At 36.4% G+C, this 12,252-nt stretch overlaps 1 protein-coding gene across 7 annotated transcripts in view; it reads left to right on the top strand.

Moving 5' to 3' along the window:
- The window catches only part of LOC112268044 (ankyrin repeat domain-containing protein 18B-like), a 60,842-nt gene that overhangs the window by 11,596 nt on the left and 36,994 nt on the right, over positions 1-12,252 (top strand). For all 7 annotated transcript variants that reach the window (XM_047424292.1, XM_047424291.1, XM_047424293.1 and 4 more), the window contains exons 4-7: positions 4,470-4,751; positions 5,342-5,553; positions 7,472-7,694; positions 11,105-11,150. In XM_047424292.1, coding sequence (XP_047280248.1) covers positions 4,470-4,751; positions 5,342-5,553; positions 7,472-7,694; positions 11,105-11,150 — 763 coding nt within the window. The remainder of the gene's footprint in view (positions 1-4,469; positions 4,752-5,341; positions 5,554-7,471; positions 7,695-11,104; positions 11,151-12,252) is intronic.

Below are 12,252 nucleotides of genomic sequence, written 5' to 3' on the forward strand. Positions count from 1 at the left end.
GCAGCACCATTTGTTGAAAAGACTATTCTTTTCCCATTCTGTTCTTTTGTTAACCTTGTATAAAATCAATTGACTGTCAAGGTGCAGGTTTATTTGTAGATTATCAATTCTTAGTTTGTTTATATCTATTCTTATGCCAAGGCCAAATTGAATTTAATGAGAAGTTTTTTTCAAGCATGTTGCATATTACCAGTTGTCTTATATCATAATAAAAATTAAATTTAGTGGAATATCTTTAACTTCACCTTTTGTGCCTCAAAGGAATCTCTGGCCAGCTTATACCTTACTTTCTCTAAGACATGGCAAGTCAGGCTTACAAGACACTCTTTTTTTCTCTATTCAAACCTTTAGTCTCTTTTCCATTGCCTCCCTCTATAGTTATATTTTCAGTAAGTTTTCATCACAGGATCTGCTGATGTAGTCTAATATTTAGTGTATTATGTTTTGCTAACTCATTATAATTCATAGAATCTTCCAGAGATGTTTACCATCCAGGAAGGAGAAGTCTGAGCTGCCAGCTTTCCTCAGTGGAAATCATGTGAAGTCATCATGTTGTAGTTCGCAGATCCTCTTTCCACCTGGTAGCTGGTTCTCTTGGGTAGCACTGCATCTAATCCTTTACTTGGTGCAGATCTTGCATTCTCAGAAACCACAGTTCCCTGTATTGACCTCCTTTTACTGAAACAGAGATGCACAGCTCTGCTTTCTAGCTCAGTAGAGGATTCTTGGGATATAAAGTTTAACTCATTCCAAGAAAAAGTCTTAGGAGTGCAGCACTTCAAAATCAGGTAATGTTCAGGCAATTTATTGGAGACAAATAGTAGATTAGTATTTTGACTTTTGAAATTTCAGAGCCAAGTTGTGTGCTGTAGAGAAGCATTGTGGTATAATACAGAGATGGGATGGTCTTAACTTCTCCATACAAACAAGCTTGAAGTAAGATAAAGGAGAAATTGCATTTGATGTCTTAACACTCAAAGCATACTGTGCTTATTTTACTTCTGTGAAGACTAAAAATCATTCCATAATGTTCTCATTTCCTCATTGAGAAAAGGAAAATGAAAATTGAATACTAGATTGATTAATAAATACTCAAAACTTATTCTTTTAGAATTTTCATTAACTGAAATCAGGCAAATGTCTGATTTTGGTTATCTAACCAAGTATTTCTAGTTGTTTTTCAAATCATACATCTTCTTTCTTTGCAGTCTTATTTCCTAACTTGAGGGGAAATTGTAAGGAGACACCCTTGCCTTGTTATGAGAGTTCATAATTGAAGGGGGTTTTAGGAAATGTTCCTCCTCAGCAGCTTATGTCTCTCTCCTGGTTATCTACTGCTTCTCAATAATGTTTGCCATCAATAAATTAATCTCAACATTTATTAGATCCTACTTTAAAGGAGACTCTTTTCTCTGCATAAGTTATGTTTCCTGTTGTCTCTTTTTAAAACTTATTTTTCTAACAATTATCCAGTGTTTTGTGGCTTTAAAAGAAAAACATTTATTTTGTTCATGAACCTGTGGTTTGAAAAAAGCTTAGCCAGGACAGGTCATCTCTGCTCCCCTCAGCTTCCCTAGGAATAGCTGATCAGTTGGGGAAATGGAATCCTCTGAAGCTTTGCTCACCCATGTGTTTGATGGTTGATGCTGGCCATTGGCTGGAACCTTGGTTGGAGCAGGCAGCATGAATATTGACACTGACACTCCCAGGCTGTCTCTCTGGCCTGATCTCACTCACAATCTGGGGGCTGAGTTCAAAGGGAAAGCAGTCTGAGATAGGGAAGCCACATGATATCCCTTTTACTGCATTCTATTCATTAGAAGGAAGTCAGTAAGGATTGCCCATATTCTGTTTTTTTAATGGGATAAATATAGCTTCTCTTTTGTTTTAATTGACATGTATATACATAATTTTGGCCAATAGAGTGATATTTTGATACATGTATATAGTGTGTAATGATCAAGCTAACTAGCACATTTACTACTTCAACCATTTTTCATTTTTTGAATTGTGAACATTCAAAATCTTCTGCCTTTTTAAAAATATACAATAAATCATAGTTAACCATATTCACCCTACAATGCCACAGAACACCAGAACTCCTTCCTCTTATCTAACTGTAATTCAGTATCCATTAACCATCCTCCCCTCCCCTACCTCTGTGAGCTTTTTTGTTGTTGTTAAGAGACAGGGCCTTGCTAGTCTAGTCTGGGCTCTGGGCAACTGTCGTCACCCAGACTAGAGACAGTGGCTTGTTCATACCTCACTGCAGCCTCAAACTCTTGGGCTCATGTGATCCTTCCACCTCAGCCTCCTGAGCAGCTAGGATTATGGGCATGCACCATTGCACCTGTCTGATTTTTGACTTTGTAGAGCTATCTACCTATGTTGTCCAGGGTGCTCTGGAACTTTGGCCTCAAGTGATTCTCCTGCCTTGGTCTTTCAAAGTGCTAGGAAATTACAGGCAATAGCCAGGTTGCCCAGCCCTCAGTTTTTCTTTAGCTCCCACATATGAGTGAGAACGTGCAGTGTTTATCTTTCTGTGTCTGCACTTAACATACCATCCCTCAGACTGATCCACATGGCCACGAATAACAGGATTGAATTCCTTTATATGGTGAATAGTATTCTACTGTGTTTGTGTGCCACAGTTTTTTGTCCATTCATTTGGTTATGGACATGCAGGTTGATTCCATACATCAGCTATTGTGAATAGTGCTACAATAAACATATGAGTACAGGTATCTTTTTGATCTATTGTTTTCTTTTCTATTGCCTGAATACCCAATAGTGGGTTTGCCGGATCCCTTGGCAGTCTCATTATTAGCTTTTTGAGAAAACCTCATGTTGTTTTCTATAGTGGCTGCACTAATTTACCTTCCCACCAACAGCATGTTAGAGTTTACTGTTCTCTGGAACCTCACCAGCATATGTTATTTTTTTGTCTTTTCAATGATAGCATTTTATTCAAATTGAAGCAAGATTGTATCACATTGAAGATTTGATTTTTATTTCCCTGAGGATTAGTGATACTGAGCATTTTTAAATTTATTTATTGGCTATTTGTATTTCTTTTTTCTAAAGAAAAGTATAGTTAGATATTTTGCCCAATTTTGAACTCAGATTTTTTTTTACTGTCAAGTTTTTTGAGTTTCTTGTATATTTTGGATACTAGTCCCTTATTAGATGAATAGTTGACAATATTTTCTCCCATTCCACTGGTTTTCTCTTCACTCAGTTTGCTGGGCAGAAGCTCTTTATCTTAATGTAATACCATTTGTCTATCATTTGGTTTTTGCCTATGCTTCTGATGTCCTACCCATAAAAATCTTTGTGCAGGCTAATGTCCTCAAGCATTTTTCCTACATTTACTTAGAGTGGTTTCATAATTTTAGGCCTTAAATGTCAGTCTTCAATCAATTCTGAGTTTATTTCATTATGTGCTGTTACATAGGAAGCTAGTATCATTCTTCTCCATATGGATATTTAGTTTTCCCAGTGCCATTCATTTGAAGAGACTGTCCTTTCCCCAGTGTATGTTCTTGGCACCTTTGTCCAAAATCAGTTGGCTGTAAATATGTGGATTTATTTCTGGGTGTGTATTCTATGACCTTTACCCCAAGAATCATTACTTCTTAAAATGCAATTCAAATTAGCATGAAACATTTGCGGTTTAAGGAAAGGCTTATGGCATCAGAATCCTTATTTACAGGATTCATTATTTTGTGTTTTTTTGAGATATGGTCTTTGTCTGTCATCCAGGCAGAAGTGCGGTGATGTGGTCATAATTCACTGCAGCCCTGAACTCTGGGTACAAGCCATCTTTTTGCCTCAGTCTCCCAACTAGCTGGGTCTCCAGGCATGAGCCACCATGCCCAGCTAATTTAAAAAAAATTTTTTGTAGACATGGGGGTCTCACTATGTTGCTCTGGCTGATCTCAAATTCCTGGCCTCAAGTGATCATTCTGGCACAGGCTTTTAAATTGCTACAATTACAGGAATGAGCCACCATGCCTAGTATAGAGTGTTATATTATTTTCAAAGTCTTATTCTGAGAGCCATTTATTGACTTTGGCCTAAATAACTCAATATGATATCTCTGAAACTTTTTTTTGACATATTATGGGGAATGATAATGAGGGAAGGTGGTTAGACACTTTTTACTAAGAGATAACTTAGTGCCATCTAAGGAGGAACAAAAATGAATTATCAGAAAAATAAAAGTAAGATGAAGTGCAAAAGTTCTGTGGCAAAGATGATGATAGCAAATAATATATTTTTGTGACTCATGGTAGCTTTAACTTTTTTCTTAAAATTCTGAGTAATTTAAGGGTTCACATTTGAAGAATCCACTGCATTACAGATCACATTTTATTGCAAGTAAATGCATTTCAAAATTTGCTATTGGTTTTGTATTAGATTATTCTCAGCCTATTTCATCATCAAGCTATATTATTTTATTCATGCAGTTTGATGATCTTACGGCAGAGAAGGAAGCTTTATCTTCAAAATGTGTCAATTTGGCTAAAGACAATCAAGTTCTTCAACAGGAGTTTTTATCTATGAAAAAAGTACAACAGCAATGTGAGAAACTTGAGGAGGATAAAAAGATGTTGAAAGAAGAAATATTAAATCTTAAGACACATATGGAAAACAATAGGGTAGAACTTAGTAAACTACAAGAATATAAATTGGAGCTAGATGAAAAGGCAATGCAGGCAGTAGAAAAAATAGAAGAAATCCATTTACAGGTTAGTTTTTTAAATCAGGTAAGTTTATCTGTAATGTGCTTTCATTTATTTCACCGCAAATTATATTTTGGTTATGAATATATTATGTTTCCTCTGCCTCTCTTGTAGCAATTTGCTTTGTAGAGTTCTAGAAGAAAAATGGCATCTGTTTTTTCTTTTAAATATTTACATTTCCATTATTATTATAACAAAATCAATCTTTCAGAGTAATGATTCTCACTGTGGAGTCATTTGATGATTAAGATCAGTTGGCATAAGAAAATTGTGATTTCAAAATTATGTGATACTTTTGAATTGGTCTTAAGCTACATTGTTCATTAATCACTTTTTAAAATTATGAATGGATTCTATTACTTTTTATATGAGCAGATTACATTAATACATAATTATGATTTCAAATTTTTATAAATCAGACAATTCTGAATTCAGTTATTAGTTTTGATCTTGCTGATAAATATTTTAAGCTTCAGCCTCTTTTACTAACATATTCACAATCGCTCTTTGAATCACTGACTCAAAATGAAAGGCAACAAACATATAATAATTAGGTTATAATTGTTTTAAAAGTGTATTCTTTTCCTTTGTTTTAGGAACAAGCACAATATGAAAAACAATTAGAGCAGTTAAACAAGGATAATATGGCTTCACTAAATAAGAAAGAACTCACACTTAAAGATGTGGAATGTAAATTCTCAGAAATGAAAACTGCTTATGAAGAGATTACAACCGAATTAGAAGAATATAAGGAAGCCTTTGCAGCAGCATTGAAAGCTAACAATTCCATGTCAAAAAAATTAACAAAGTAAGTCAAAACATACACTCATAGAAAATGAATTAAGCTCATTAATTTGTTTTGAAAGCATAATTTTTAGTGAGATGGCTTCAGGAGATTAGTAGGAAGTGAATGCTAATCTAATAATGTAATTTCAGAAAATAATGTTAGTAAATAATCTTACCTTTAAAATGTTAGTCAAGGATAGTTTCTGTCCCATTTCTTTCTCTCTCTCTCTTTTTTTTTTTTTTTGCTTTTGTATGGCTTTTTTCCCCTGAAAAGTCTCATGTAGTTAACCTGATCTGTTAGTTTTTGTCACTAAGTATTTTCGAAGCATTATAATTAATAATGTGATCTTGTTATAAAATTGCTTGTCAGAATTTTCCTAAATAGAAATATTAATGAGTTTAATTTATTTTTTGGTAGATCACAACCTAAACCCAAAGTTTCAAGTGGTACTGCTACTCTGGGCACAATCATTTTTTATTGTGATCTTTAGTATTATCACTAGAGGGTGCCTCAAGAAAGACTATTTGTGTAACATTTTCAAGATGTTACAGAAAGGCATCCTTGTGAAATAGGGAATACTTATCAAGGAATTTAAAGAAGTGTAATTCACAAAGTGGTTAAAACATAACTAGAAATACCATTTGACCCAGCAATCCCATTACTGGGTATATACCCAAAGGATTATAAACCATGCTGCTATAAAGACACATGCACACGTATGTTTATTGCAGCACTATTCACAATAGCAAAGACTTGGAACCAACACAAATATCCAACAATGATAGACTGGATTAAGGAAATGTGGCACACATACACCATGGAATACTGTGCAGCCATAACAAATAATGAGTTCATGTCCTTTGTAGGGACATGGATGGAGCTGGAAACCATCATTCTCAGCAAACTATCGCAAGGACAAAAAACCAAACACTGTATGTTCTCACTCATAGGACTCATAGGTGGGAATTGAACAATGAGAACACATGGACAAAGGAAGTGGGGAACATCACATACCGGGGCCTGTCGTGGGGTGGGGGGATGGGGGAGGGATAACATTTGGAGATATACCTAATGTTAAATGATGAGTTACTGGGTGCAGCACACCAACATGGCACAGGTATACATATGTAACTAACCTGCACGTTGTGCACATGTACCCTAAAACTTAAAGTATAAAAAAAAAACAAAACCTTGTTCAGCCTGAAGGGGTGTGTGGAAGGCAGAAGGAAAAAGCCCCACCTCCAGTGCCTTGGTCACAGTGCTGGGGGCTAATTGCCTTCAGACATGCTTTAGTTCTTTTTGATCACCAACCAGCCAATCTAGTTCTCCCCCAGGAGTTGTTGTTCTGAATTATTCCTCAGTGCCAAATGCTTAATTGTTCCTAGATAATGGGTGAAATGCACAAGGGCGAAACCTAAAATTTGTTTGCTAAACACAAGTATTCCTAGATTTTGTTGTTGTTGTTCATTTTAGTTTTCTTAACCTACATTAAGGAGTACAACATGATGTTTTGATACAATTATTTCTAGTGAAGTGGTTCTTATAATCAAGCAAATCAACATATTCTTTTCTCACATTGTTACCCTTTAAATATGAGTATTTCTAATGGAATCTTCAGAATCTCACAAGTAGAGCCCTTTTAGAAGGCAGCAAGTGTTACCTGTTGAGCCATATATCACTGATAGCCATTTCTCTTCCCTGTCTACTTTGTTTGTACTGCTTGTTCAGTATAAATCACCTTAGAAACACAGGTGCTTCTTTAGAATGATTTTAAAATTATACTTGCTTACAACAGGTATGCTCTCACACATCTTCAGTGTGAAAACACTGTTTAGTGGATAATTTAGTTTGCTCTCAGGGCAAGTTTTTAAAAACTGCAAGTCATTAAGAATCAGAGGAAAAATGAAATACTAAGCGTGTGTCTTTGCTATCTTTACAGATCAAATAAGAAAATAGCAGTGATCAGCATGAAGCTCCTTATGGAGAAAGAGCAGATGAAATATTTTCTCAGCACTCTTCCTACAAGGCGAGACCCAGAGTCACCTTGTGTTGAAAATCTTACTAGTATAGGACTCAACAGAAAATATATTCCCCAAACACCCATAAGAATTCCTATTTCAAGCCCACAGACTTCAAATAACTGCAAGAACTCCTTGACTGTGGTCAGTTACATGACCATTTCTCTTTTGGGTTTCATTTCTCTAATATAATTCTTGTTTTTAATTTGGTGAAATACTGAGTTCTGTTGACTTATGCATGTTTAGTAAAGATCATAATTAACTGTGTTAACACAGAAAGGAAATGGAAACTTTACATTTTTTAATTCCCTGGAGCTCTCATTTTCAAGAGATACCCGTTTACTAACTTTATTCAATAAATGTGACTAAACTGACACATTTAAAATGTCTTTAAAAGCTGCATTTAAGTTAGGTTTTAGAAATTGCATATTATTGCCTGATAACTGATGATATAGTTTGAGATGCTTTGGCTTACTCTCTAATTGATTATAGTTTAGCTGTGGTTCATACAGCCCCCCCTTTTTTTTTCATTGAAACAGTGTTTCACTCTATTGCCCAGGCTGGAGTGTTGTGGCACCATCTTGGCTCACTGCAACCTCCACCTCCCAGGTTCAAGCGATTTTCCTGCCTCAGCCTCCCAAGTAGCTGAGACTACAGGCACCTGCCATTACACCCAGCTAATGTTTGTATTTTTAGTAGAGACAGGGTTTCACCATATTGGCCAGGCTCTTCTCAAACTCCTGACCTTGTGATCTGCCTGCCTCAGCCTCCCAAAGCGCTGGGATAACAGGCATGAGCTACCACGTCCAGCCCATGTCACTTTTAAAGTTTCTTTGCACCAGCCAGGTGTGGTGGCTCATGTCTGTAATCCCAGCACTTTGGGAGGCTGAGGCAGGTGTGTCAGAATGTCAGGAGTTCAAGACCAGCCTGGCCAAGATGGTGAAAGTACAAAAAGTAGAAAAAAAAAATTAGCCAGGTGTGGTGGAGAGCACCTGTAATCCCAGCTACTAGGGAGGCTGAGGCAGAGAATTGCTTGAACCCAGGAGGCGGAGGTTGCAGTGAGCCGAGATCGTGCCACTGAACTCCAGCCTGAGTGACAGGGTGAGACTTCATCTTGAATATAAAAAATTTAAAAAAAAGTTTAGTTGCACCATCTCAACTCTTTCCACCCATAATCACAACTGAATGATTGGCATCCAAACAGTTTACCACATATAGATGTTTATTATTTAGTAGAATCCAAAATAATTGCATTTTATGAATTAAACAAAACACTAAAATGTTCATTTCCATTTTTATGTTCAAAGCTTTGTGCTTGGCCAGGTGCCGTGGCTCACACTTACAATCCCAACATTTTGGGAAGCCAAGGCATGTGGATCACCTGAGGTCAGGAGTTTGAGACCAGCCTGGCCAACATGATGAAACCCATCTCTACTAAAAATACAAAAATTAGCAAGGCATGTTGGCAGGCATGTGTAATCTCAGATACTCGGGAGGCTGAGGCGGGAGAGTCACCTGAACCCGGGAGACAGAGGTTGCAGTGAACCAAGATCATACCACTGCACTATAGCCTATGTGATGGAGACTCTGTCTCAAAAAAAAAAAAAAAAAAAAAGGTTTATGCTTTTCTTACGTAAGAGTACATTCTCTGACTATAAAAATCCTGGAAGAAAACCTAGGAAATACTCTTCTGGACTTCATACTTCTCAATTAATTTATGGCTAAGTCCTCAAAAGCAATTGCAAGAATAACAAAAATTGATAAGTATGATCTAATTAAGCTAAAGAGCTTCTGCACAGCATGAGAAACTATCACAGGATTAAACAGACAGCGTAGAGAATGGAAGAAAACATTCACAAACTATGGATACAGCAAACGCCTATTATCCAGAATCCATAAGAGATCTAAACAAATCAACAAGCAAAAAATAAATAACACCATTAAAAATGGGCAAAGGACGTGAACAGACACTTCTCAAAATAACACATGTAAGTGGCCAACAAACATATTAACAAATGCTTACCATTGTTAATCATCAGAAAAGTGCCAAACAAAACATCAGTGAGATACCATTTCACACCAGTCAGAATAACTTGTTGAAAAGTAAAAAGAAAAAAAAAAAGATGTTGGGGAAGCAGTGGAGAAAAGGGAACACACACCGTTTGTGGCAATGTAAATTAGTTCAGCTACTATGGAGAGCAGTTTGGAAATTAAGAACTAAGGATGACCGTTGGATGCAGCAATCCCATTACTATACTAGGCGTATACCTAAAGGACAATAAATCATTGTAATAAAAAGATGCTTGCACATGTGTGTTCATTGCAGCACTATTCAAAGCAGCAAAGACATGGAGTCAATCCAGGTGCATCCAAGGCAGATTGAAAATCCAAGGTAGATTGGAATGTTCCATACATACCATGGAATACTATGCAGCCAAGAAAAGAACAAAATCATGTCCTTTGCAGCAACATGGATACAGCTGGAATCCACTATCCTAAGCAAACTAACACAGAAACCAAATATCTCATGTTTTCACTTATGTGGGAGCTGCACATTGGGTGCACATTGTCATAAACCTGGGAACAGTAGACACTGGGAAATAAGAACAGTGAGGGACAGAGTGGGCCAGGGTTGGAAAACTACTTATTGGGTCCTATGCTTACTACCTGTGTGATGGGTTCCACTGTACTCCAAACCTCGGCATCCCTCAATATACTCTTGGAAGAAGCCTACACAGGTACCACCTTAATTTAGAATACAAACTAGAAAAAAAGAAACAAACAAAAAAACACAAAAATTTACTATTAAAAAAGTTTACTATAAGTAGAGAATAGAAATTTCTTTTTAAGATAAAATTTATTGATGTAAAAACATTGGATTAAACTTGTATATAGGGCAGAGTTTTGCTAAGAATTTCAAAGCAATGCATTCATTGCAAAAGATGACTTTAATTATTTAATTTTTTTTTTTTTTTTGAGACAAGGTCTCACTGTATCACCAGGCTGGAGTGCAGTGGTGCAATCTTGGCTCACTGCAACCTCCACCTCCTGGCTTCAAGCAATTCTCCTGTCTTAGCCTCCTGAGTAGCTGGGACTACAAGAGTGCACCACCATGCCCAGCTAATTTTTGTATTTTTAATAGAGACAGGGTTTCCCCATGTTGGCCAGGATGGTCTCGATCTCCTGACCTCATGATCTGCCTGCTTTGGCCTCCCCAAGTGCTGGGATTACAGGCATGAGTCACCACACCTGGCCATTGTTTAACCTTTGTACTAATAAAACACTACCTTTCTAAAATCATGTATATGCAGTAGACCAATATTAACTGTATTTTTGTCTGATTAAACAGCATTACACAGGTGCATCCTCTTATCTAAACTTAAAATAAGTAGAAATTTTACTTCATTTATGTGATTATTTTTCTATTTAAGCAAACTTCAAGTTATGTCTAGTCACTAAAAATACTAAAGGCCACATTTTGTAAGTGATACATTATTTGCATGATAATGTTTCTTGTTTAACTTAAACATTATTATTATTTTTACTTATTTTAGATGGAGCTGGACTGTGTAGAACAAATAACTAGAGAAACAAAGAGAAGTATGTTGCCAAAATTTATTAATTACATTTAGGTTTATTTTAGAAATTAAGTGTAAATAACAAATGGCATTCCTTTTCATTGTTTGGTTAGTAGATACTATGTCAAGTATTTTTTTTCTTACACACATCTAATGCAAGATGTGAAAACAAAAACTTTCACAGAGAAGACTGTACTTATGCACCATAAATTCATCATGTTCCATAGCTTAAAAAATTCCCAAGAAGTCTATGCATCTGTTTTTTACTGGCTCTACACTTTCTTAAGTTTTGCCATCATCATGGAACTGTCAGCCAGCACACTGAAACGATTCTCAGAAAACAAAGGCATCACCAAGTTCTCAGGGTTTTGGTACAGATTGAAGGCCAACAGACCTCAGACTCATTTTGAAATCCTTAGCTGGGCAATAACCCTTCATAAGCAGTCACTTGACAGGTGACATTTTAAATCTCCTATCATTTACTGTGTCATTGGCTTACATCTGTTCTCAGGAAAAGTTCCAAATTTTTCACCATGAAATAAAAACACCCACATCAATGTGATTCTTGTCAAGTTACTCAGCCTTGTTTTTTGCCACTTACCGCACTCTACCCTTTGCTCTAGCACCAAAGTGGAGGAGAGTAGAACTCCGCAGGGCTCTTCCTCACCTCAGGCTCTTGGCCTTCGCCTCTTCCCTCTATCTGGCAAGCTTTTCCTTGTCCTTCAGGTATCAACCTATGTTATCTCCTCCACCAGAAAGCCCATGACATTGACATAAAAGTGGGATAGATGTCCCTTTTGTGTGTTCCAGTAGTGCCCTGCTGTATACCTGTCATGGTATCTATGACACTATGTGGACCTTGCCTACCTGTCTGTTTTTTTAGGTTATAGCATATGACTATTGGGAGGTGGACCATGCCATCTTCATCTTGGAATTCCAGTGCTGGTTCTAGTACCTTAGCACGTGGCTGTTGATTACATGAATGAAGAATGAAAAACCTCTGATATTTAAACACAATAGAATTAATGCCATGTGTAAATTATTTAATAGTAATTTTGTGTTGTAAATGTACATAGATATTTCTCATTCTTACTAACTCTGATAAAGTTCTCAACTCTTTAGTA

This window comes from Homo sapiens, chromosome 9, assembly GCF_000001405.40.
Source record: "Homo sapiens chromosome 9, GRCh38.p14 Primary Assembly".
Classification (NCBI taxonomy): Eukaryota; Metazoa; Chordata; class Mammalia; order Primates; family Hominidae; genus Homo; species Homo sapiens.